Raw genomic sequence first — 26,706 nt, 5'->3', positions numbered from 1 at the left:
CAGTTATGGTTTATTACAGGGAAAGGTTACAGATTAAAATCAGCCAAGGGAAGAAGCACAAAGAGCAGAATCCAGGAAAAACACCCAACATAGAGCTTGTGTTGTTCTCTCCCCATGGAGTCTTAGACGTGATTTTCTCAGTGTGTGTCTGTAACAATATGCGTGGAGTATTGCCAAGTAGGGATGTTTTCATGGGCCTCCATTATGCAGGTGTGATTGATGGCCTGTGTGGCTGATCTCCGACTCTGGCAAGCTGATACTGTGTGACTCAAACCCCCACCCTACATCCCATTGTTGATCTTTCTGATGGGATCATCCCCACCCTAAATACTATCTGGCATGGCTAGATCCCACCTTACATGACATTGTTAGACTACTAGCATAATCCAAGGCCCCCAGGTAAACAAAGACGCTCCTATCTCCTATGACATCCAAGGGCTTAGATGTTACCACCCAGAAGCTGAGGGCAAAGGCCAGAACTCTTTGGGTGTAAATTTAAATTCTTTACTACACATATATACATACAATCTATATATAGCCATTTTAAGTGTACAGTTCAGGCTGGGCGCCGTGGCTCATGCCTGTAATCCCAGACTTTGGGAGGATGAGGTGGGCAGATTACCTGATATCAGGAGTTTGAGACCAGCCTGGCCAACATGGTGAAACCCCTTCTCTACTAAAAATACAAAAAGTAGCTGGGCATGGTGGCATGTGGCTGTAGTCCCATCTACTTGGGAGACTGAGGTGGGAGAATCGCTTGAACCCAGAGGTGAAGGTTGCAGTGAGCCAAGATTGCTCCCCTGCACTCCAGCCTGGGCAACAGAGTGAGATTCTATCTCAAAAAAAAAAAAAAAAAAAAAAAAAAAAGGAAAGGAAAGGAAAGAAAAGAAAAAATGTACAGTTTAATGAGTTTTGAAAAAATGTGTACATCTGTGTAACCACCACCACAATCAAGAAAAAGGACATTTCCAGCACCCCAGAAAGTTCCCTCTTGTTCCCTTGTGGTCAGTTCCTCTCTGCCCCCTGGCAGATTTCCCCTTTTTAGAATTTCATGTATAAATGGAATCATACAATATGAATGATTTGCCGTCTGGCTTCTTTCAGGCAGCATGTTTTTGGGATTCATGCATAGTGTGCCAGCCGTGTGTTAGTGCTAGGTAATATTTAATCTCCTATGTATGTGCCGCAATGTGTCTATATATTCATCTGTTCAACATTTGGGCTGTTTACAGTTTTAGGCTACTTTGGACAAAACTGCTATAAACATTCCCATATATGTGTTTGTGTAGACATGTTTTCATTTATTTTGGGTAACTCGCTTGGAGTGGAATTGTTGGGTTGGATGGTAATCATGTGTTTAATTTATAAGAAACTGCCAAACTGTTTCTATCGTGGTTCTAACATTTTACGTTCCTGCCAGTAAAGTATGAGAATCCAATTGCTTCACAGCCTCTCTAGCACCTCAGGCTTTCTAACTTTAGCCATTTTCATGGGTGTATAGAGTAATTACTTATTGTGGTTTTAATTTGCATTCCCTGGTGACTTTTTATGAGTTTACTGGCAACCATACATCTTCTTTTGTGAATCTGATGAGATTCTTTGTCTATTTTCAACTGGGTTGTCTCTCTTCTCATTGATTTGTAGGAGTTCTTTATATTTTTTGGATATATCCTTTTCCAGATATGTATGTTTGTAGCTTGCTTTTTTTAATCTCTTAGTGGTATCTTTTGAAAAGCAGATTTAATTTTGATGAAACTGAAGAAAACTACATTTTAAAATGGTGCTGTGAACTGCGAATACATTTACAGCTATTTCGTTGCCATCCAAAAATTCTACAAACGTTATCCAACAGGAAACTGATGAATTTTAGAGGAGTGCCCACTTACAAAGCCTTTCTCCTAAAATTAAGTGGTGTTAATAGTAATAATATTACACAGTTTCTCACAGATCATCCACCAAGTCCTTCTTTGGTGGGAAAGGCAGATGCTTTACAAGAAATAGGTATTAATTCTACTTCCTACTCTATTTTTTCTTTACATAGTAGACACAAAAACCATTAAAGCTGGCTGGGTGTGGTAGCTGACGCATGTAATCCCAGCACTTTGAGAGGCTGAGGTGGGTGGATCACCTGAGGTCAGGAGTTCAAGACCAGCTTGGGCAACATGGTGAAACCCTATCTCTACTAAAAACACAAAAGTTAGCTGGGCATGGTGGCGCATGCCTGTAGTCCCAGCTACTCGGGAGGCTGAGGTAGGAGAACAGCTTGAGCCCAGGAGGCGAAGGTTGCAGTGAGCCAAGATTGCACCATTGCACTCCAGCCTGGGCGACAAGAGTAAGACTCCATCTCAAAATAATAATAATAATAAAATTAAAAAAAAAATTTTAAGCCATTAAAGCAACCAAATAGTACAATATTGGCTACTACATTGCTTTGGCTGCTACATTTCAGGCACTGTGCTAAAATAATTAATCCTCATGGAAACTGTGTGAAGCAGATATTTTTGTCTTCGTATTCAGATACTCAGATAAGGACAGTGAGTTCAGAGAAATTAAATACCTCGATGAATATCACACAAAGAGGTGGCTAAGCTGTGATTCCAAGGTAGGTCTAATTCCAAAGCTGGTGTTCTTCATTAGTATTCTGTATCTGTTCAGGACATGTACAAATCAAATCATAGACATTTGATTTTAGATATACCGAATGTTGATTTTGGCAGGTTGTAGAGGGAGTAGAGGGCTGAGGAGAGGGGATGGGGGACAAAGATTAGGTCTGGAACTTATTTTGGCAGGGGCTGTTCATGCCTCCAGTTCCTCATCCCCTAGATAGGCTTGATAACTTTATGAGGGTCAGAGTAGCCAAGCCAAACTGAACCAATTTAAACACATTCAGAAGCAGAACTTCTTCAGATAATCTAACCAGTTAGCAGGACATTCAGCTTATCACATGCTCTGCTGGAGTTTCACGGGATCCTTCTTTTGTTAAAGAATATTGGAGAGTGACTTCCTGAAACTTTATGCTAAGGCTTGATCTAACATTTCACATGTAATCAATACTTATCTTGCTACCACTTATGTCAGATCTCCTCATTAAAGTCATGTAATTATTTGGAATCTTATCCCAGTGATTAACACAATTAATGCCAACTCTCTTTTGAAACCTTTAATGCATTGTTATTTTCCAGCTTGGCAGATGTGAAGTTCCTTTAGTTTACTGAAGCTGCAAGTTTGGGACTTCGGCAGTCTCACATCAGTAGTCACACATTCCACTAAGGCCCTTCCTTCTACTTGATGCCCTGAGTGGATGTCACTTGCACAGCAAACATCAAATGCTCAGAGATCATTAAGTTATAACTGCTTTAATCAGCAATATAGTGTCCACTAGTGTATAATTACACTGAATTCTGACTCTTTGGATTTTCCTTTTTACAGTTAATTGTTGCATTTGAAAATCCAGATGATCTTGACTAGTCAGACTGAGACGAATTAAAAGACTGTGCATAACCTATTAGAAGTTATGCACTTATTAATAAAAAGACAAATCTGTGTTTTCCTCCTCCTTTAAAAATCAAGCACCAAAACAATAATTTAGTTTTCGAATGCATTAATATGGTATTCAACTGCATTGCGGAAGGAAGGAGTAAATTAGAAAGAAAGTGATAGTTATATGTGCTTAGAAATGGGCTGTTTTCAACCAAGGGAAAAAGGAACCCTTATACAAAGGTCAATGCTCTTTTTTTTTTTAATTGCAAAATAATATTTAAAAGGTAGTTAAAAGACTTTCAAGTCTTTTAAGAAATGACAGTTAAAAGAGAATTTTACAGCCTTTTCTTTTATCATAAACTATAACAGGAAGTGAAATCCACAGTTTTCTGAAATTTTGTCTCCTTTAAGCTTCCAAAATGTTTCTTATTTTTAAGCCTGAAAAACATTAAAACACCTTTATCCTGAGAAGTTTGTCACGTTCGTATCTGCTCTGATCCTCCCACAATCCACTATTTGATTATTAAAGGTAATTGGCACTTAGCATCAAATCTTTAATACACTGATATCTAAGTATCTAATTTTCTTACTATCAGACAGGAATTTAGACTTCTTATAAAGTTTTTATGCTTATTTGATTGTTGCTGCTTATAATTAAGGCCTCAATAATCATAAAAACATTCCAATAAATGTTTCAGATATAAAAGAAATTTAAGCAATATTTTTAAAAACTAGGGTGAAAAAAATGACAATAGCCATGTCTTTCTCCCTCTCTGAACATATTCCCTGAAAAAACTCCCCCAAAATAGTTTCTCATTAGAAATAATTATGAATATATTGTCTGTGCTTCACAAATGAGTTGTAAATATAAAAAAAGGAAGTCATAAAATATGTATACTAAAAAGGGAGAAAAGACATATAAATAATATACTTTGTTCCTTTGGAATCCTATTTTCAAAGTGCTTTACAAATTACCATATTCTTATAGTATTTTGTGAGTTAAGTAGGTAGTTAATATTCTTGGTATTTGGCAACTCAGATCATAAAGAGATAATGCATAAAGAGATCATAAAGAGGTAAAACATGCTAAATTGTCCACATCCCTTGAGCCTACACCTGAGTACTTTGTCCACGCTTTTCTCCTCTATCCATGGTGCTCTGCCTAGGGGATGTAGATAGCCATCCCACCCTATAGGGGTTAGCTGGGCCAACTAAGAAGGGGCCATGACAAAGAATAGCTTAGGCATCACTCGACATCAGGCATAGAAAGAGAACAACTAATGGGTAAGAAGAGTCAAGTGATATTGATTGGTGGCTCCCCAGGGTTGAATTCAGAACATGTTCTGCTGTCTCCTGGGTGCCAAGTTTTGACGAAAAGGGCAAAGGACAACTTGAACAATGTGGGGTGGGCGGGTGAAATCTCCGTTCATTGTTGTTCACGTGGGAATGGAGTGCTCGGAATGAGGGAGATCTTGACAAGCCTCCCTGCCAGCAGTGGCCTCTTGTTTCTTATCAAAAACTGAATACTATGTCCTTCTTTCTCTTCACCACTGGGGTTGGAGAGTATTGGGAGAGCATATTGGTACCAGAGGGCAGAGATATTGTGTGAAGGGGACCTTTGTGCTTAATGGGAAAAAAATAGGAGAATGAAAAGAGGAGATTCCGAAAGAAAGGACAAGACTTAGAAGTTGGAAAACAGAAAACAGACGAAATGAAAAAGAATAAGCAAGAAAGTGGCCCTGGGTCTAGAAAACACCAATTTTTTTCTTTTGCCAGAGGGTAGGAGGTCCAATGTAAAGGAAATACACACACACACACACACACACACTTCAAGAAGCTCATGTAACAAAAGAGTAGGCACAACCTATATATACATTAGTAGGGAGTGGGTCAAATACATTATGGTACATCCATACAATAGAATATCATGTAGGCTTTTAAAAGGATTTAAGTATACAAATATTGGCACAGATATCTAAGAATGATTTACTAAAAAAAAAAAATGGCAGAGTAATTTTTAAGATATAATTTTATTCTAAAAATTATAATATAGGTTAGTATATGTGTAGAAAAGAATATGGAGGGCAAAGCATCAAGCAGTCAAAGGTAGTTATTTCTGGTGGGAGAAGGAGGAGAAATTATTGTGGAAGGTGATTATGTTTTATATTACACATTTTTGTGTTATTTGAAACTTTTTTTTCTTTTTTTTGATGGAGTCTCACTCTGTTGCCCAGGCTGGGGTGCAGTGGTGTGATCTCAGCTCAGTGCAACTTTCACCTCCTGGGTTCAAGCGATTCTCCTGCCTCAGCCTCCCAAGTAGCTGGAACTACAGGCACACGCCACCATGCCCAACTAATTTTTGTATTTTTAGTAGAGACAGGGTTTCACTATGTTGGCCAGGCTGGTCTCGAGCTCCTGACCTCATGATCTGCCTGCCTTGGCCTCCCAAAGTGCTAGGATTACAGGCGTGAGCCACTGCACCCGGCCTATTTGAAACTTTTAAAAATAAAAATTATATTGTTTCCATTGTGTATTAGAAAGAAATCAATAATAAGTATAGAAATAAATCATATTGCAAAGAAGAAACATAATACATAGGTTAAAAAAAGAAAATTTTATAATTTGGAGTAAAACTTAACATTGAAGTAATCTATACCCGGATGTCTGTATCTGTGAAATGGTGATCCCAAAGTAAGAGTTTTAATTTCATTTAAAGAATGTTTGTCTTAAATTGACATGAGTGGTGAATTTTTAAAAGGTGATAATTACAGAAGTGTATTATACTTTATTAGCTCTAAAACTGAATATTAGATATAATCCATAACTTACCTATTGATGTAATTGACATTTGTCAGTAATTGAGTATTTTCTTCTGATCAATTTGAATTATTCTCTTCAGCTCTTATATTTGGGTAAATCTTATAAAGTAACTCTAATTGCTTTAATTTAAAGACAGTCCTTCCAACAAGAGACTCACAAAGCACTAAGAGGAAAGGGAGAGCAATAAAATTTTACAAATACGTATTGAAATACATGAACAGCATATTTTAAATCAGGTCTTTAGAGAACAGCGGAATTTGGAAGCTGTCTAACTGGACTGCAATAGTCAACCTGCATAGATGGGCCCAACTGCTGTAACGTTTGAAGTAACTAGACTAGGTTACATGTGAAACATATAGTAATGACAATTTCACCTGGGAGTTTGGACATTCTTCCACTTATCATTTAGGAAAAGCTGTTATATGGAATCAGACCAATAAGCTATCCAGGGCATTGTAAGATCTCAGTCGCAGCCATACCAAAAAGAAAAAAAGTGTAGGCCGAGCACGGTGGCCCATGCCTGTAATCCCAGAATTTTGGGAGGCCGAGGCGGGCAGATCACCTGAGGTCGGGAGTTCGAGACCAGCCTGACCAACACGGTGAAACCCCGTCTCTACTAAAAATACAAAATTAGCCGGGCGTGGTGGCGCATGCCTGCAATCCCAGCTACTCAGGAGGCTGAGGCAGGAGAATTGCTTGAACCCGGGAGGCCGAGGTTTCGTTGAGCAGAGATCACACCATTGCACTCCAGCCTGGACAACAAGAGCGAAACTCCGTCTCAAAAAAAAAAAAAAAAATGTAAATCTTTTGTTGTGTACAAAATCACATAGAAGCTATGTTCCAGTTTGTTTGCATATGTCAGTCAGGTCAGATAGAATTCTATTTACTAGGATGTCATCAACAATCCACTCACACAGAGCTGGGGCCCTGTCCCAAATTAATGCAACCGTAAGATGAATTGCTTAAGATGGAGAAACTTACACGTATTTATGATTTTGGAAACTCTTGAGGGCTTGTCTTATACATTTCAGGCTGAAGTAAAACTTCAGAGACATTTCTCCCCATAGTATATTGTAAAATCAGAGGCCAGGCAGAAAAGAAGTAAAAGGCTAGGATGAGGAAGTCAGTAGGGGCGGGGCGGGGGGGATCGTTAACACCTAGAACAGTGCGAAGAGGCCACAGGAAACGGTCCCCTTCGGCCATCTGGACCAAGGTGAGGCACTAGGGAAACCCAACGGGAGACACCGCTCTCAGACAGGAAGAGTTGCTGGCTGTAAACAACTCAGGCTGTCTTGTCTTGTGAGAACAGTTACAGAATGGACACCACGAGGGCAACGGACTTCTGAGATAACTAAACGCACCTCTCCTTGGCCACTTAGCTCCTCAAAAGGCCCCAGGGCCCCACCCTTCCTAGGTTGCCTTCCCAGAGTGCCTCGCGCCTTTCCCGGCGTGCCCTGCTGCCGCTCCCCAAGCTGCTCTCCCGGAGGCCTCGGGGCGCCCCTCCGCCATCTGCAGCTCCCTGCAGACTTGCATGCTCAGACGGGAGCTGTCCACCGCCTGCAACAGGAAAAGGGCTTGCTTGCGTGTGGTAACCACCTTCTTCAACGTGAGATTCCCCCAGGTCCCATAAATGCTTGGGAAATTTCCCTAACCCCCTCGCATTCCATGTGACCTTCAAAATCCTGAAAAACCTATGGCCCCAAGGCTTACCCACCTGGGAACAAATCTCGTTTCCAAAAGTCAATCAACCTCAGGTGAAGCAATCTAGGGAGAACATCTGCTCAGGATCAAAACGTTTCCTCTTCATTCTTTTGCAGAAATCTTCAGCTTCAGCCTGTCTTGAGCTATTATTCATTGTCTAATTGCTTTGTTCCCCAGTAACTCAAATGAAATCAAATTCTGCAGAAACTGAGTTTCACTGTGTCTGGAGGAACAAGGAATGCAAAGGGAGTGTGAGGAAACGAACCATTCACCTTTTTCAGTCGCAGCGTCGAAGTGAATGCAAACTTTACCCAATTGTATTGTTGATACTATGAATGTGTGACATTAAGAATTTAGAATTTATAGAGTAGTCTATGTGTTCATTAACAAGCTTGAATCTAGAAATAATCTTGTTGATTGGTAACCTAATTGTGATTATCCTGCACATTTTAAAAATGAAGAAACAATCTGTGAGAGCTTACGAGACTTTCTAAAGCCTCACATCGAGTAAGTAGCAGAACTAAGGACTCAAACCCAGGACTTCTCACTTTATTACTCATGTTAAGAAATTCTTTTTAAAAAAAGTCATTGAAATTATTATTCAAAGCCCTTCACTTATGTTTATTTTGGTTAATATAAATAAATGACTGTTCTATGATGACAAATATCCTTTTCTTTGAGGATAGTCTGATAAAAAAAAACACATCCATGTATAGAGAGATAGATACTGTAGATACAGAGATATTATATATAAAGTGAGAGAGAAAGAGAGAGATACAATATAAGTGTGCCATATAGGAAAGGCAGTTGTAGGGAAAGAAGGAGAAAGAGAGCAAAAGAGAAAGGGAGATCTCAAGCTGATATGGTTCAAAAGAGAGACCTCTCAGTTGGGAGGTCCTCTGGGGATTTGGGATGACAGTGGGCCACTTGTGGTTCATAATACCAGGATCACACTAGCAATTCTCATATCTCAGGCCCAGCCCCACCTGGCCCTTCTGGAGCCTTTCAAGCCCATGGATCTGACTTTGGAGTACAAGATGGAGAAAAGACAAGATGTATTACTCAGGATGGGTAATGAGTATGTCATATACCAAGAGATCTGGCATATATGATCAGGATTAATGTTTTTTATCATCACCCTGTGTTTGATCAGAGGTTTTTGTTGTTGTTGTTGTTTGTTTGTTTTTAATGTGCTTTTAACGTCTAATGTTAGAAAAGTAAATTCCTGGAAAATCAGTTAAAGGCTGGATTATTTCTCCATTTTGAAGTATAGGCTAAGGATATTTTTACCAGAGCTTGAGAACTTATTTTATAATAATACCCAGATATTTTCTGAGGGAATATAGTATTAAAGATTTTGACAGTAATAAAGAGAACAGAAGTGATGAAAAATACTGTTTTTCCTGCACTATATATCCTGCTCTGTATTTTAAAGATAAAGTAATCTACTGGAAAAGATGTCGATGTAAGAAATTAAAGTCTTTAAAAACAAGCTCTAAACATTGTACTTTTTAAAAAGAGGATAAGAATATCATCCTGAAATACTTTTTGAATATTACACATGATTTAATTGCATACTAAAATAATTTAAGTATCCAATTAAACACAGATTTCTGAGGAAAATAGATGATTCTGTTTAGGGATTTGGTTGAAGAACCAATGCTAAAATGCAATGAAACAAACCCAGATTTATATCAGTAGACATAATATTATTTCTAAAACACATAATTAGAAAAATATATTTAGCCAATATAGATTTTTTGTTTTTGAAGAATATGTCATTTAGTAAAAATTACAAAGTCTTTAGTGAAGAGGTCTAAAGTCATTAATACATAAGCACTTCAATTGTAAGCCTTTCCATTGTAGTTACCTGTAGGAGTAAATAAAGGAGCTTTATTACATGTAAGGCCCCATCTTTTCTACTTAAGTCTTTTAGACTTTTAGATTCCTTGGAAATTTCACCTACTAAAATCAAAGTGTGATTGCTAAATCAGTATTAAGATAGAAAGAATCCAACTGTGGGTTTTTTTTTCCAGATGATTTATTTTTTATTTCTTCTTGGATTCTATACACAAATACTATGCTTTGATATTTTGAGACTTAAATAACAGAAAAGGGGGATTTCTATAATGGGATTCCTACTACTTATTTTATATCTATGAAAGCTACTTTGCTTGTTTATTTGCTATATACAGACAGAAAAATGTATGGAACTAATTTTAAAAACCCCATATATTTTCTGTTATGGAATTTAAAGTAAGCCTGACAGTAACTTATTTTTTTTGTCCTTAGGGAGAAATATCAGAAGCTAGTTTCCTCTCTGAGGGCAGAAAAAATTTATTGTGTGACAGATAATTTCTTAAACACACTGGATCTGTCCTACAATACTGTCTTTGAGATATAGGCCTTAAGAAGACCTTCTAAGTGAAGGAGGTCTTTGGGATACTTAAGAATGTAAGCTCTCTTGGATAAAGTCTGAGATGAACTATCCTTATTTCAAAATCCACTTACAGAGTATAGTGTTAAAGGTTAGCTTTAAGTGTATTGACTTCATCATAATCTTATACATTAATATTTAAGTTTCTCTGGAAGGATTGTGGAGAGACCTTTTTCTGCTAGAGAAAGTGTGCAACATGGTAAAGAGAACTGTAGGAAGAGAAATGGCAGCCCTGCTTGAGCAGTGAGAATAATAAAATGGTCATCTGGAGAGCTCCAGAGACAGTTGGCAAGGTTCAAATTCAAGCTTTACCAGGTAATAACTATATAAGGTTTCACTGTACAACGGAGATAATATATAGTACATTCACCTCATAGTGTTGTTGTAAGGATTATATAAATACAGGTAATGTATCTGACATGTAGTAGGCAGTCAATAAATGTTTGCTATTATCATTACAGCTGAAAACTTAAACTACCTATACCTAGAGAGACAGTGAGTAATGAGCTAAAAGTATGGCCTAGATGATTATGTTTGAGGTTTCTTTTAGAATCTTAATCCATCTGGCCTCATACTAATTTTCCTTGTTATACTACCTGTAATGTAACCTCCGCCCCCCAGTTGTCTAGCCTATATACACTTTCAGCATTCTCTTACCCTAATGTTCATCTGGGTTTCTTGTTCACTCTTCCAAACTCTGATGCTTCCCCTTGTAAAATCCTCCAACTGTGCCCTCCAGAATGCCCAACCCATGATGCACAAACTCTTCTCCATCCTCCACCCTTCTAAATGCAGTTTAATCACAAACTGGCTTTTTGCCCAGGACATTACTTCCTTTTTCAGGAGGAAGCTGTTCATTTGCCTCGCTCTTTAGTGCCATTTCCAGACTATTTCCCTTTAACTTTCTTCACCCGCAGTCACCTCAGAGATCTCAGTGACACTATTAGGACAGTGTTAGGAATGATAATAATTGATACTGGTAGGGTTAAATGGGGACAATGCATGTAAAATGCTTGGCATAGTGCTAAGAACATATGAAATTCTCAGTAAATTTTAGTTTTTGCTATTATATTCACCTTCTAAGTGAAGGAGGTCTTTGGGGGATACTAAGAATGTAAACTCTCTTGGAAGTCTGAGATGAACTGTGATATCCAAAATAACTACACCTAAGAAATCATGAATTGAGCCATTCCTGACTATTATCTCCTATCTGTTCTAGTCCACTGATCTTCCTGCTGTTTCCCAGTTCTATCCCTGCACACATGTTCTCTCTTCCCTCTCTAAGCTGGAGCACAGTTTAGATTCTATTTTTCCATGAGTCATTTTTTGGTCAGTATTCTACACTCCCTTGCTTTGTTGTCTTTTATTCACATCTATCTGACAAATTCTCAAACCTAGATGTGCGCAACTGCTCATCTTGTCTTCACCTGCACCCAGGCTGCTTAGTGGTGCTGGGGAAAATCATGCTACTGAGTAGACTTACATTACTGTAAATTCATTGTCACCAACTTCACCTGGATTCCTAGTATTTCCTGTCAATCCCCACTATGTTTTATTAGTCAACTCTGTATTCCATTCTCTACTGTGCTTATTTCAAACCTTTTTCAATCTCTTCAAAGCACACATTCTCTACTGGTATATTTATTGCAGCACTATTCACAATAATAAAGATATGAAATCAACCTAAGTGTCCATCAACAGAGGATTAGATAAAGAAAATATGGTATATATACACAATGGAATATTATTCAGCCTTAAAAAAAAGAATGAAATCATGTCTTTTGCAGCAACCTGAATGAACCTGGAGGCCATTAGCTTAAGTGAAACAACTCAGACACAGAAAGACAAATACCACACGTTTTCACTAATAAGTGGGAGCTAAAAAAATGTGTACACATGGATGTAGCATGTGGAATGATGGACAGTGGAGACTCAGAGGGTGGGGGCTGAGGGGGTGGGAGGCAGGGTGGAGGATGGGGGGTTACTTGGTGGGTACAGTGTGTGTTGTTCCAGTGATGCACTGAAGGCCCCGACGTCACCACAATGCAATATATCCACGTAGCAAAATTGCACTTGTACCCCAGGAATATATACAAATAAATACATAAAAGCTCCTTTTGATGTTATTATTATTTCTTTATTCTTTTTTAAGTTGACATAAAATTGTATATATTTATCATATACAACATGTTTTGAAATATGTATACATTGTGTAATGGCTTAATCAAGATAATTAACATATGCCTTATTTCACATAATAAAAATTCCTCTTCTCTCAAGTACATATACTTAACTTCTCTCAAGTACATATACCCTTACAGTAGAAATGAGTTAGTCATTTGTTCATTGATTAAATATTTATTGAGTACCTTCTGGTTGTTGTTACAGATTCTAGGGATACAATGGTGAACAGGCAAATGATGAAGTCAAGTCCTGGAGATGACTGGTGTTTAGTCCCTAGTTGCACTAAACCTGTTTTCATGGAGTTTACACGAGAAGTGGAGACAAAAGACAGACAATAACCAAGTAGTCAGTAAACCAATAAAATAATTTCAGATAGTGGTAAGAGAGATAAGATAATAATAGCAGTGTGATAAGATAGAGATTGGACACTGAGGTGGGAGACTAATTTTGGTGGTTAGGGAAAGCCTCATTTTATCCAATACAGTGAAGGTAGTTTCACTGTTAAGAAAATACATTTTACATTAAAGAGAATATGTGCATATTTATTTACTTAATTGATTTTCAAAATAGCCTTTCTTGTTATACAAATGAAAATTGAGGCTCAGGGAATTAAGGAAATTGCCCAAGGCCACACACAGCTACTAAATGACAGAGCTGGGATTCAAACGTTGGTCCAGTTAACCCGAAGGCCATGCTATCTCCACTAAACCATATGCCACTCACCAAGACGGGCTCTTGAGAAAAAGGGCTTGTGTTACTGTTAGGTTTGAACAGTCTTTTCTATTATGTTTGGGAGGCCTTTTTTAACCTGTTTTCGACATCAAAAATAGTAATACACAATATTTATGTGATGTTTTTCCAGGCACTTTTGTTATCATTATCTCACTATCACATAACCACTCAGTAAGATACAGAACACTCACAGACCACTGAGACCACTTTTATAACTGAAATGTAAAAGTTAAGTGATTTTCCATGATTGCATAGCTGTAGAATGGTGGATATAAACTAGATTCGGATTTCTTGACTTTTCATCTTTTTTCCCCCAATATGCCTATACAGAATGTTTGTTTCCTTTTAAAGTACTGAGTTTAAGAGTTTAAATCCAAATCAAACCTGAGAATTAATTTTCATTTCTGATGCTAAATACCAAGGATTTCTCCATTAGTCCAGGTAACTTCATTGTGAAGAAATGATAAAGAGAATAAAAGGGAGTAAGATAAACACTGTGCAGGTATAACATTAAATTACCCTTTTTTTCTAATTTTATACAAATGAAAAAAAGGATACCCAACTGCAAAGTCCCTGAGATGCTATTTAAATTCAAGTACTTCTGAAATACAAATACATGATAACTTAATTATTTGCAGCTTAGGAAAAAAAGCCATTTTTGTTTGTTGCATTGTTGTTGATGGTGTGTATATGTTGTTTTATAATTACTAAGAAAGTATACTCTGGTTTCTCTGAAGATCATATAAATATTTTTCCTTTTTATAATTATTAAGGAAGTAATAATGAAAATGGATAAAGAGACTTTTTGATGTTATTCTGTCATTGTGTTGTCAAAAGAAAATATATTCCCCTCTTTTCCAAAAGTCAGCTGGGTTTTATCAGCTTTGCAAAATGATGAATGAACGCCTTGTTCATTATTATTGCTTAAGTCATTCTTATTTATGCCAGTGATTCACGGATTATGTTTTGATTGTTCTTGAGAGATGAAAACACTTTCTTGCTGATGAATAAACACTGCCACTTTAAAAATATTTGTATGCAAAATGTCTTTAAAGCCATTATGAAATGCTTTGCAAGAGTATTAGGAAGCTGTTTTTCGAAAGGCATTTTTTTCTCTACCTTTTCTTTCATGCTAAGCAGCCCAATTGAAAGGCTTTTCAGAGTTAACTTGTTTAAGCAATACCAGTGTTTTAGTGTAATGAATAACTTTTTATAGAGGACAATCACACACAATTCAACATGCCGGTGTTTCTATTTCTGTGCTCCACCAATGCAGGGATTCTGTGGTAGAATCTTTCTCTGAGAAAGCTGAAGCGATCAAAACCCTGATTAACCTCTGATATTCACGTGGTGCTCTTGATCTTGAGGACTGCAGCAGTCACAAAGCTTTAATGGCAGCCATATGCTTAGGGTATTGTGGGCATGGGTGACCCAAATGTGAACTTGGGAGGTGACTGATGCTAACTGCTATTTGTTTCAGGTTTGGTGTGGAGATTACTGATGAAGAGCTTGACTTACTACTTGACAGAATCCCCTTGATGAAGATGGAAATGTCAGAGACCCCCGATTCATGCCACGTTGGATTCTTAGCACTTCTTTTCCACATTTTCTCATTTCTTCGTACATTTTTTATTCTTGCTTTTAGTACAGAGAATGTACCCCTCAAAGTGCTAGGATTATTTAAATTTTCTCTTTATTGGCTGGTATCTCACTTATTAATATTTTATAAGTGACAAAGGATTTTTGAAAAAACATTGTTAACAAAAAGGTAGAATTTTTAAACGATGAACTATGGCAATGCATTTGAAACTAGTTAATGTCTCGGAACCTGAATAGTGGACATGGGAGGGTAATGTGTGACTGAGGTGACAAACGAGGCATGTAAACTGTGTTTGCAGAGTTGGGAAGAAAATTGCAGTTAAGTGGCAAAATTCAAGTCCTGGAGATGACTGGTGTTTAGTCCCCAATTGCACTAAACACTCCCACACACACTGACTTTTACCCCTCACTTGCCTCCCAAGGGACTCCCATTTACAAGACATCTTTCTACTTTCTTCCCAGAGGATTCTGCCTGGACAGTACAATACACACCTATTGCCAATGGTTGTGTTAAAGGCAGAGCAAGAATGCCTTCTGAAATACTCTCAATCTGTATTTCTCTATCAGGGAACCCAAGTTTTTACTCTTTTCTAAAATCTTTTCATGGATTTTATAGGGTAGATCAAGGCTTAAGTATTTAAAATTCTGATCAGTATTGACCATTTCATTCCTCGAGTACTTTAAGGCATGTTGCAGTCCCAGGCATCTGATGATTTGGGCTGAAGCCACTGAAAGATGGGCTGCTTCTTCCTAAAGATACTTTTTTTTCCATGGCAGTTTCGGAATATAACTATCTTCATCCCATATGCCTCCTGGACCATCCTCCAGATCTCATGATTATCTCTTTAGCCATGAAACCCACCCATGTTTTCTGTTAGTTCTTGATAGCAGGGTGGAAGTTACCAACCTGGTTTGGCTTGAAGGGCATTGTAAGAGCATGCTACAAGTCAGAGAATGCCCTCAGACAGAGTCGCAGGTGCTGGCAGTAGGAAGCCCTCGAAGTGAAAGAGAACCAGGAGTGCTGAGGAGGTACCAGTAGGCCTTACCTAAAGGTGGGCATCTCCTACCGTGCAATTATTCCATAATTTCCCAAGCTTATTTGACCTTCTTTCATGGAGCATCTTAGAGGCTAGCATTCCACAGAACATGGGAATGCTAACTTAGTTGAATAAGTTATTCAGCTAAGTGTTAGCCTTTATTTTAGGAGGTGAAGATCAGGTGTCTGAGAGAATGAAATGAAGCGGGGGGCGGGGGTTGTTTCTTTGGTTTTGTTTGTTTGTTTTTTGAGACAGAGTCTTGCTCTGTCCCCTAGGCTGGAGTGCAGTGGCACGATCTCGGCTCACTGCATCCTCTGCCTCTCAGGTTCAAGCGATTCTCCTGCCTCAGCCTCCTGAGTAGCTGGGATTACAGGCATGCACCACGACGCCCAGCTAAGTTTTTTGTATTTTTAGTAGAGACGGGGTATCCCCGTGTTGCACAGTCTGGTCTTGAACTCCTGACCTCAGGTGATCTGCCCACCTCGGCCTCCTAAAGTGCTGGGATTACAGGCAAGAGCCACTGCACTTGGCCTGTTTGTTTGTTTAAATATGAGGTCTGTAGGCAAAGAGAAGTACAAGCAAGTTGTTATGAAGGGAGTGTCCTGAACTTCCAGAAGGCAGCAGGGTAGAGGCACTGAGGTCCAAGTGTCAGTGCCAAAGGAAAGGGGCAGGGTGGAAAGAGAGAGGTCGGGGCACTAACCATAGAGGTGACATGAGCCTGGCCTATTCCCCTCAATTTCAGGTAGATAAATGTTAATGACAGGTCACATCTCTTTGAATTCTTTATATTATTTACTCAACACATAAAATGACAGATTGTAATTTCATTGTTAACATTAACAAATGCCTCTACTTATCGATATTTTACATACCCAATCTCATTATTATTCCTTTTTTGCCTGTGAGAAAACAGATACATAGAAAGATTAAGTGAGTTGCGCAGGTTACATAAGTCAGTGAGTGTACACTGCCAGCTAAACCTAGGTCCATCTGATTTGAAAATCTACAAGGGTTTCCACTATTTCACATTGCATTTCTGAATCATACAACAACAAAAATAATTGTTCCCTTTAACAAGCGTTTATTATGTGCCCCATGTCCTGCTAAGGGCTTGACATGTGTTATTTAATTTAATGGTAAATACCATCTTCCTCAATTCTGCTTGAGTTCACTGATGGATTGCTAACTGTCCATCGTATCTGCCAGATAGAAGGATGGCATTTATTGCCTGGTGGTATGGTGTAAAGGCCCCTGAACTGGGTGTTAGGAGACTTGGATGACAAGAGTTACAGCTTGGCTTCTCATTTAATAATGACATGCCCTTCGTCAAATCTTTAATATCCCCTTGCTCCAGTTTTCTCATCTGTAAAATGAAAAGTTCAGCTCAAAAGATCTCCAAGGTTCTCTCTAAGTGAAAAGTTCTGCTTGAAGTAGTTTATATTCTTATAAATATTAATGAAGATTTGAGGCAGCCACTTAGTATGACCTAAGAAGATACTGTAACAGAAGCATGTGTTTTCCTGGTAAATAAGAAGAATTAACAAGCCATAACATTAAAGTAATAAATTCATTTTTAGAGTCTATTTTATAATCATCAAATTAAAATCAATACAATAAACATTTATGAGTACTTGTGTTTACAGTCAAGCATTCCTGAATTGTGAAAATAAATGTTTCTTTTAGAGAATTTTTTTGTAATTTTGTCACAGAATCTGCATATATGATTGAGAACTTCATTTCATATATATATATATATATATATATATATATATATATATATATATATATAAATGGAAATGGAAAAGAAACATAAGTGTCAAATTGAGAATGAAGAACTATAGAAAACAGTATATAGAATGGTTAACAGTTCCAGGAGTATTAACAATATAAAAATACATATCACTTTAGACTATTTTTATTTTACTTCTTTGTGAGTCCCACCTTTAGTCCCCCAGTTTTTAAGGATACACATAAATACCAAAACTTTTTAAAAATCTGAATTAAACTCAGGAGGCTGAGGCAGGAGGATCACTTGAGCCCAGCAGTTTGAGGCTGCAGTGAGCTATGACGGTGCTACTGCACTCTGGCTGGAGTGACCAAGTGAGACCCCGTCTCTAAAACAAAGAAACAAATAAAAAACTGAACGAAAATTAATCTTTTGACCATAATAAGATGTTTGAAAAAACTGTGGCAAAAAATGATAAAGTCCATTAAGAACAAATGGTAGACTTTGTGACATGCTCGCATTAGTTTAATCACCAAGAAACCAATGGAATTATTTCTCTGGGTTTGTGACTTACCTCATTCATTTTATAGGTAGCTGTCCCACCAAGAATACCACGTCCAAGAGCAGGATTCTCCTTCCAAAGTGTGTGTGTGGACTTGAGAAGCAGCCTTTGGAAGACGGGGCTGCCCAGACTTTATAGAGCCTACTTCAATTTCTCGGAGGTCTGCAATCTCAGGTTGTCAGTCATCCAGGACCTTGGCTGTTGGTGAGACAGAGTGCTTCCTTTTGGGTGAAGAACTCTGTATTACTTTCCTAGGGCTGCCATCATGAAGCACCACAAACTGGGTGGCTTAAAATGACAGGAATGTATTCTCTCAGAGTTCCAGAGGCTGGAAGTTCAAGATCAAGGTGTGAGCTGGGGCACGCTCCCTCTGAGCTCCGAAGAATCCTTCCCTCCCCTTTCCTTGCTTCTCAGGGTGACTGGTAATCCCTGTGAGCCTTGTTCTGCGGCTGTTCCACTCTCATCTTTGCCTCTGCTGTCATATGGCACACTGCGTGTCTCTGTCTCTGTGTCCAAATTTCCTTGCTCTCATAAAGACACCAGTCTTCTCCGATTGAGGGCTCAACTTACTGCAGTATGACTTGTCTTAACTAGTAACATCTCCAACTACCCTATTTTCAAATGAAGGCATATTCTGAGGTGCAGGGGATAAGGATTGTGACATGTCATTTGGGGACACAATTTAACACATGACAAACCCTGTTATATAGACCTAGCATGTCTAGTTTCTTACAAATTTCACTGGGGGGAGGGTACAAATAATAATTAGCTCTTGTGTACTCTTGTGCATTCTCTGACAATAGCAGTACCAATAGCTAACATTTAATGCCTACTACTTGTCAGGCACTAAATACTAACTCATTTCATTCTTACAACAGCCCTGCTTCACATATGAGAAAGCTGGGACACAGAAAGTAACTTGCCCATTGTCCTCCAATTAGCAGTGGCGGAGACAGGGTGCAAACCCAGACTGCACCTGCCCAGAGCCCACATACTCAATACCACCTTGCCTTCTGGACAGTCAGGACAAGCAATTGTGCCTCTGCTAGCCATTACTGTGCCAACAAGTAAGGTTACACTTGAAATGTGGCTTGCAATGCAAGGTTTAGATTTTACAGGAAACTCACATGTTTTCTGGTTACTTATTTTTTTTTAAGTCTGAATTCAATTTAGACTTGGTATTAAAAATATATTAAAACCTCTCAATGATTTTTATATTGATTACATATTGAAGTGATTATATTTTAGATATATTGGGCCACATAAAATATGTCATTAAAATTAATTCCACTTAAAAGCATCTTTTTTAGTGTGCTGTTAGCAAATTTAAAATTACGAATGTAGTTTGCAGTGTATTCCTATGGGCCAGCCCTGAATTCGACAGCAAATCTTTTAAATTAGAGTAGGCAGCATGATGGAAGAAAGAAATTGATTCAGTCTTTTATCCCAACTAAATCAGTTCCTAAGGTCTCTGTGCCTTAGTTTCTCTGTCTATACAATGTGATAGAAAACTTGAATTTTCCTCACAAGTTTAGTAAATTGAAGAAAGTCGATTATGAATCATTTTGCCCAATGTTTGCAGGAGGCTAGACAATTATCCACCAAAGCCAGAATATTATAATAAAATAGCTCATCTAGATTAAATATGAATTTTAAGTATTTATTACTTTCTTTAAGCAAATAGATGTGTATCTTTGAACTACAGACATTGAATCCAGAACGAAATATTTCTTTATTTTATTTTATTTTTTTGAGACAGAGTCTCGCTCTGTTCCCCAGGCTGGAGTGCAGTGGCATGATCCCGGCTCACTGCAACCTCTGCCTCCTGGGTTCAAGTGATTCTCCTGCCTCAGCCTCCCGAGTAACTGGAACTACAGGCGCGCACCACCATGCCTGGCTAATTTTTGTATTAGCCAGGCTGGTCTCAAACTGCTGACCTCAGGTGATTGCCTGCCTCGGCCTCCGAAAGTGCTGGGATTACAGCGTGAGCCACTGCGCTTGGCCAGGACAAAACATTTCTGTGGCGAGGCCTGGCTTGCTTGGCTCTAAGGCCAATACTTTTCTCATTATACGTTCCAGGTTATGAAAATTATGCTAAAAATATAAAAAATTAGCCGGGCGTGGTGGCGCACACCTGTAGTTCCAGCTACTCCGGAGGCTGAGGGCAGCAGAACGGCGTGAACCCGGGAGGCGGAGCTTGCAGTGAGCTGAGATGGCGCCACTGCACTCCAGCCTGGGAGACAGAGTGAGACTCCGTCAAAAAAAAAAAAAAAAAAAAAGAAAAAAAAAGAAAATTATGCTTAATAATTTTTAGGTGAGGTGATGATCAGCTGGGCTTCCCCTCGGCAGTGGAAGATGTATGTAGATAAATGAGATGAGGTTAAAGCTTCTATGCTTTTATTTGACATGATGTATTGATTTGTGTAGCCAATTTTTACATAAACCAGAATCTCAAAACTTTTACTCTGTACTTTGCTGGGACTGTGAAATTGCCACAGTGGCACTTTCATATGAATAAATTCAGAAAACAAAACCACTTAGAGACGATAAGATATTCAGACGTTTCAAGCACTTCATGTGTTTTTGTCACTTACTCTTACTTTTAAGTTGGAAAAGCAATAATGGGTTATCATAAATATCCAAATATAAAGTGTATCTAAAATGAAGAGGGAAAGTTTCTGCCCTTATCATTTTGCCCAAATCCAGCCTTCAAACAAAATCAATTAATTATTAATTTTAACATAGAAGTCAGTACATTAGTTTTGTGGCTCTAAAGTATTTTATAAATTATCATAGTGCTCAATATGAACCTATTTATGGCTGTGGCCTCTAATAATGTTATATGTAGACAATTTTTTGTTTGTTCTTTATAGTCATATATTGGATAAAATGTATACATCTCACATTGGTTAAAGATGGCAGTTCTGCTAAAAATATGTGTATTTTCCAACAGTTTTTTTTTCTTAGCAAAGAATAATGAAAAGCTGATTTAGAACAATGATCTCCTCCAGAGATATTTGTTAGAAAAAGCAGACTTTTTTCACATCCCAATTTCACTGTGTGTTGGCATGGCGTATTATAGGGTTTAGAAAGATCATCTATGTGGTCTCATGAATATGGGAGGGTATCCATAAAATTATATCAGTTATTGGTTTTGTTTAGATTTGTTTTGAATGGCAGAGAAATGGCATCATTTAAAAATATTAATGAGCTATGGAAAAAGAATAATTAGGTCAGGGTGGTAGTTAGGGTATAGTTTCTTTAGCTTCATTAGTACATTTACCACAAGTCATTTGAACATGTTTATCCCACACATATAATTACATAAAAATCATAGATATATTCTGTCTTTATGAAGGTCACTTTCCTTATGTTAAGGGGACTCATCTATGAGTAAATTAAGTTTGGCCTTTCGGGGAGTCCCACAGTTTAGTGAGCCATAAGATTTTCCCTGCTGGATTGTAATTGAGTCTTGTCAAATGGCAAACCACTTGTATTTCAGTATCATAATTAAGGAGTTTTGGGAAATTTATTGACAAATGGTCTAATTCTGAACATGTTATCTGAGAGCAAGAGGACAGTATTTGCAAGTCAAATGATGGAAGAATCTATTGTCAGACAATTAAAACATCTTCACTGAGACCCACCGAACTAACCTTTGTGTGGTCTGTTCTCAGATGGAAATGATTCCTAGAGACAGTTGACAGCGTGAATTTTGAGACGACACTAAATGTGTGTGGGAACTTGCAAAAAAAAATCCAGAAAAAGATTTAGGATCAGGGTTTTCTTTGCTACTTTTTTGCTATGATGGGGCGGGAATGGGAGCTGGGGCCAGGGGTTGTGGGGAGGCATCAGGGGAAAGGTGACGTTAGAGATGCTGGTAAAAGTTAGTCCTGGTCGAGCCCGGGGTGAACAATGACACAGTGTTGTTGTGGGCTGCCTCCACGACTTAGATATTCTTCCCATGTCAGTATAATCACTACTGGGAGGTAGCTCGATTAAGGATTACCATATCATTAATAGTATCCATGACTTTTGTTCAAAAGCTACTTGTGCAATGTTGCCTTGTGGATGAAGCGCCGTAATCCTCTGAGCCGCAGCTGTAGAGAGGGAGGCTCCTTAGAGCCGCCCACACTGACTTCCCTGTCCTCTCGGATCAGTTCTAAAAAACAGACAGAAACAACAGTCAACTCAAAGCCAAAAAAAAGAAACATCCATTCTACATTTCCACATTCATCCCCAAGCTTCAATCCCTGCCAATGTCTCCCATTCATCTCTTCTCTAACATCCAGATCACCACTCGGATGGTGGCCAGATTAAAGGGGAACAATGCAGTTTTAAATGTAAAGTTTGCATCTAATTTTTTTCTTTGCATGAGAAAAAGCACATTGATTCTATCTATGTGTCTGTCTAATGCTTAGCCAGTAGTTTGTCAGGTCTTTCTTATTTTCTTTGGCAACATGAGGCATGCTTGTGTCTTCCCACTGTCTAGGGTTTCTCAGTTTATTTGGTGAAGACACTTAACTCTGAAATTTGTACTTGGGTAGGAAATCATATATGCAGTTAGTAAACAGTGGGGTTTTGCTTCATTTAATTAATATTTTTGCTGCTAAGAAACTTCTACTTCCAGTGGGTGGGAGCACTGACAGAAATTGAAAAATTTAGCAGTAGCTTGAAATCTAAGCAAACACACCCAGGTATTGGGATTGGGCAGAAGAAAATAACGGAGTGAACCACATTTGGTAAAACTCTTTGTGTTAAAGGACGGGAAAGAATGGATGTAAGCTTTAGAGGACATTTCATTTCATAAAGATCACCCCTCAAAAGGGGAAAGGAAAGGGAAGAGGGAAGAAATGACCTTTATTTATTTGGCAGAGGAAAATGTTAAAAAGTAATATGAAACCTAGAGTTCAGTTTCTTGAATTTTAGCTTCATAATCACTTTTATTCCAAATTGAAATGAAGCTTTGCCTTGGTTTACTCATAAATCATTATTCTAAAGAGTTTTAGTCTTTTATTTTCATCTCATCGCTTCATTTAAAAATCACTGTAACTTTATTGTTTACAAAAAGCACTGACAACTTTTATCTATCCTAAGTTATTTTCCTGAGGAATCTATAAAAAGATTTGGACTATGGCCTTTGGATCAGAATGTTTTAAGTTCTTTCTGGTTGCCCAAAGATTTATGTTTGTCTAAAGTACATGGGAAATTTTACGTTTTAAAACCTTGCTCAGTGATAACACTTTATTTTCCCATCTCTCCTCTTTCCTGTGGCATTGACACCCAAGCTGTGCTGTAATTTAATGTCACTGACATCACTTCCTTTTAAGATATATTTATTGGGACGGAAATTACATAAGTCTTGCTACCTGAAACACTGTCAGTGTGAGACAGCTGGGAAAACTCAGGAATAGTTTAACACATTTCTAGGCCAAGAGTATCTATTCAACAAAATCATTCTATTTGGCAAGAAAGACTTGACAATACTCATCAGACACTTTAATTTAGTGTCTCTTTATGTCATGAATGTATATGCTCAAGGGATATTGTTTACATGTAATGCTGCTTAATCTTGTATGTAGTATTTGAGGAACAGAAAACTTGGGAGAATGTGCTCTTGTGCTCTTCACTAGGAAAAACAACCTCGTTCTGACTGTGCTCATATTGGTGAAAGAAGTACCCGGTTCTAGTAGACGTACTGGTAGTTTGCTAAGACATGAGCCATCATTTCCATCCCCATTCCAGGATTCGTCTTCGTTGAATAGATGCCTATAAGTAGAAGTTCTTCAACCTGGAGTTACTTTAAGAAGACACATTATTCCTAATATAGATGACAAGTATCTGAGATTTTTTAGAAAATTATTTAACATGTCGGCATAGCACTTGCAGGTGAAGGCAAGAATGAACGAGGAGAAGAAAGGTGAACAGTGGTCCAAGCAGGCATTAACATATGGGAATGTTAGCATATTAAAATGTGATACCAATTTCTGTGAGTGTAAATAATACCTCAATGTATCATGTATTCACTCTTACAAAGAGGTTCACAAATTATACAGGTTTTTTTAGTGATAGGAAAATTTCATAAAATTGGTACCCTGCTAAAATATGTAATTTTAGGTAACACAACAAACTTGCTGCTCAGTGCCATATGGGATAATACTGATTAGCCATTCTTTTTTTTTTTTTTTTTTTTTTTTGATGTGGAGTCTCACTCTGTCACCCAGGCTGGAGTGCAGTGGTATGATCTTGGCTCACTGCAACCTCTGCCTCCCGGGCTCAAGTGATTCTCCTGCTACAACCTCTTGAGTAGCTGGGACTAAAGGCACCCGCCACCATGCCCAGCTAATTTTTGTATTTCTAGTAGAGATGGGGTTTCACCACGTTGGCCAGGCTGGTCTCAAACTCCTGACCTCAAGTGATCCCCCTACCTCGTTCTCCCAAAGTGCTGGGATTACAGGCGTGAGCCATCGTGCCTAGCTCGTATTATCCATTCCTGATGTTCTTTTCCTTGTTAGGGGAGCCCCACTAGCATAACATTCTTGGCTTCTCTCTTCTCTCTCCTTATTTTTTCCTCCCAGGAGTAGAAGAGTGACATTTCTGATTTGCACTGTGGGAGAGCATAGCCCAGCCCCTTTCTCTGCACTGGGAGCCACTGCCAACAGGGCGCTTGCGTTCTGGACTGCCTTTCTGGCTCAAAAGTTTTACAGGAGCCTGCCTCTGGGGGGAGAGCTGCAGTTTTTAGCACTGTGACTAGGCGATAAATTTGGGGCACAATATTCAGAAGATCATTGTTACCATACAATCATGCCATATTATCCAAGAGTTCTGTCAATAATAAAGCTGACCCACATAATACTTCTCTCTCAGTTCCAGACCCAGGTGATAAAAGCAGAGGGTTTTTTATCGAGCCCCCGTGAGCAGCAGTGTCTATAACTTAAATGCTCTGAATCAGTGGTTCTCAAAGTACGGTCTGAGGACTTTTTGGAGTCCTTGAGACCCTTTCAGGGGCCTGTGGGGTCAAAACTATTTGTAATACTACTAAGATGTTATTCACACTCTCGTTCTGATGTGCATGGAGTGGGGTGTGCAGAAGTGACGCGTGATAACACCGTTGCTCTGATGGCTACTGAAAAGTATGCTGCGTACTGCTTATGTTTTAAATATTTCTCAGTTTTTATATTGGTAAACATTGATAGTTAGAATGAATGTATGTGCTCTGGATTTCTCAGTAAATAATTACATATAAATAATTATCTCCTACATAAATCAATGCTGATTGGGGTCCTGATTAATTTTAAGAGTGTAAAAGAATTCTTAGATTAAAAAATTTGAAAGTTGCTGCTGTAAACCATAATGGGGAGAGAAGCACTTAAAGTTAGACACCTCTGGGTGGCTCTGCTACTGAAATGTGTAAGAGTTCCCTCAGGAGATAGCCAAACTTTGTAATCTTGGACATCTCAATCTACCCAGATGAAAACTGGAATAGATGAATTACGCATTAAGCTGATATTCTTTGAAGGTCTGTTCTATGTTGGGCACTCTCTCCTAGGCAGAGGGGGGCACATGGATGAGCAACTCCATCACTGTCCCCTAGAGTCTCACAGTTAAGAGGAGGCAACAAACTGGTGAAGAGATTGACATAGAGTGTCAGGTGTATAAGAGGTGCTGTTGGAACACAGAGGGCTACTAATCCAGGGAGCAGGAGACGGATAGACACCCTAAACTGGATCTTGGCAGACAGGTAAGAGTTGGCCAGGAGAAGAAAAAGTAAACGATATTCCAAGCAGAGACACTAACACATGCAAAGGCCTAAGACAGTGCTTATTGAATAGTGGGATGGAATCCATTAGTAGGTCATAAAATCAATTTAATGTGTCATCACCAGCATTTAAGAAAAAACAAAATAGAACAGAATGTAGGAGTGCACCTCATATAGTAAGGGTATTTTTTTCATGAAACCTTTTTTCTCTGTGTGTGTGTGTGTGTGTGAGTGTGTGTCTATACTGGGTTAAGGTGTAAAATGTATTTCTTAGTGTAGGAAAAGAATTTTAGATATTATCTAGGAACATAATTTTAGATATTTGATTTTGCAATAAAATTTGTCTTTTCAGTGTAAGGAATGAAATGCTACAATCTTACGCTAATTCTTTCAGAGCATGTTATATCACATGAACACTGAGACCTGTTAGTACATTTAGCTGGTCAGTAAGTTCAGATGTGTAAGTTTAGCAGTGCTGGCATGGAAAAGCCTAGGGGAAAATCTACTGAGGCAGACTGAAAAGTTTTGAAATATTATACATAGAAAAAATTATTAGTGATTGATCATAATAAAATTAAGAAAATGCTATTGAGGCATTCATCAAAGTGCCTAAAGAAATAAACAAGCATTTTATTAATGCATCCTGAAACTCATGACAGAATTTTAGGG

At 38.3% G+C, this 26,706-nt stretch overlaps 2 long non-coding RNA genes across 12 annotated transcripts in view; one reads left to right on the top strand and one right to left on the bottom strand.

Moving 5' to 3' along the window:
* The window catches only part of LINC02436 (long intergenic non-protein coding RNA 2436), a 55,372-nt gene that overhangs the window by 13,241 nt on the left and 15,425 nt on the right, over positions 1-26,706 (bottom strand). For 3 of the 10 annotated variants that reach the window (NR_174107.1, NR_174106.1, NR_174105.1), the window contains 5 exons: positions 23,978-24,078; positions 22,288-22,440; positions 21,935-22,021; positions 8,015-8,224; positions 6,310-6,463 (listed from right to left, as the gene is read on the bottom strand). This is a non-coding gene — a long non-coding RNA (long intergenic non-protein coding RNA 2436). Of the gene's footprint in view, positions 1-6,309; positions 6,464-7,281; positions 7,731-8,014; positions 8,225-21,934; positions 22,441-23,958; positions 24,079-26,706 lie in introns of those variants that run through there. The other 7 variants (NR_174108.1, NR_174103.1, NR_174109.1 and 4 more) reach the window with 5 other exon arrangements.
* LOC105377588 (uncharacterized) lies at positions 7,802-18,869 on the top strand. Of its 2 annotated transcripts, XR_939565.3 has the most exons (5): positions 7,802-7,906; positions 10,582-10,753; positions 12,827-13,000; positions 14,835-16,005; positions 18,307-18,869. It is a non-coding gene; the product is annotated as an uncharacterized LOC105377588 (long non-coding RNA). The 2 variants fall into 2 exon arrangements; XR_002959837.1 differs by lacking the exons at positions 10,582-10,753; positions 12,827-13,000.

Source organism: Homo sapiens, chromosome 4, assembly GCF_000001405.40.
Source record: "Homo sapiens chromosome 4, GRCh38.p14 Primary Assembly".
Classification (NCBI taxonomy): domain Eukaryota; kingdom Metazoa; phylum Chordata; class Mammalia; order Primates; family Hominidae; genus Homo; species Homo sapiens.
The sequence above is the reverse complement of the archived record's forward strand: the minus strand, read 5'-3'. Positions and strand labels throughout refer to the sequence as shown.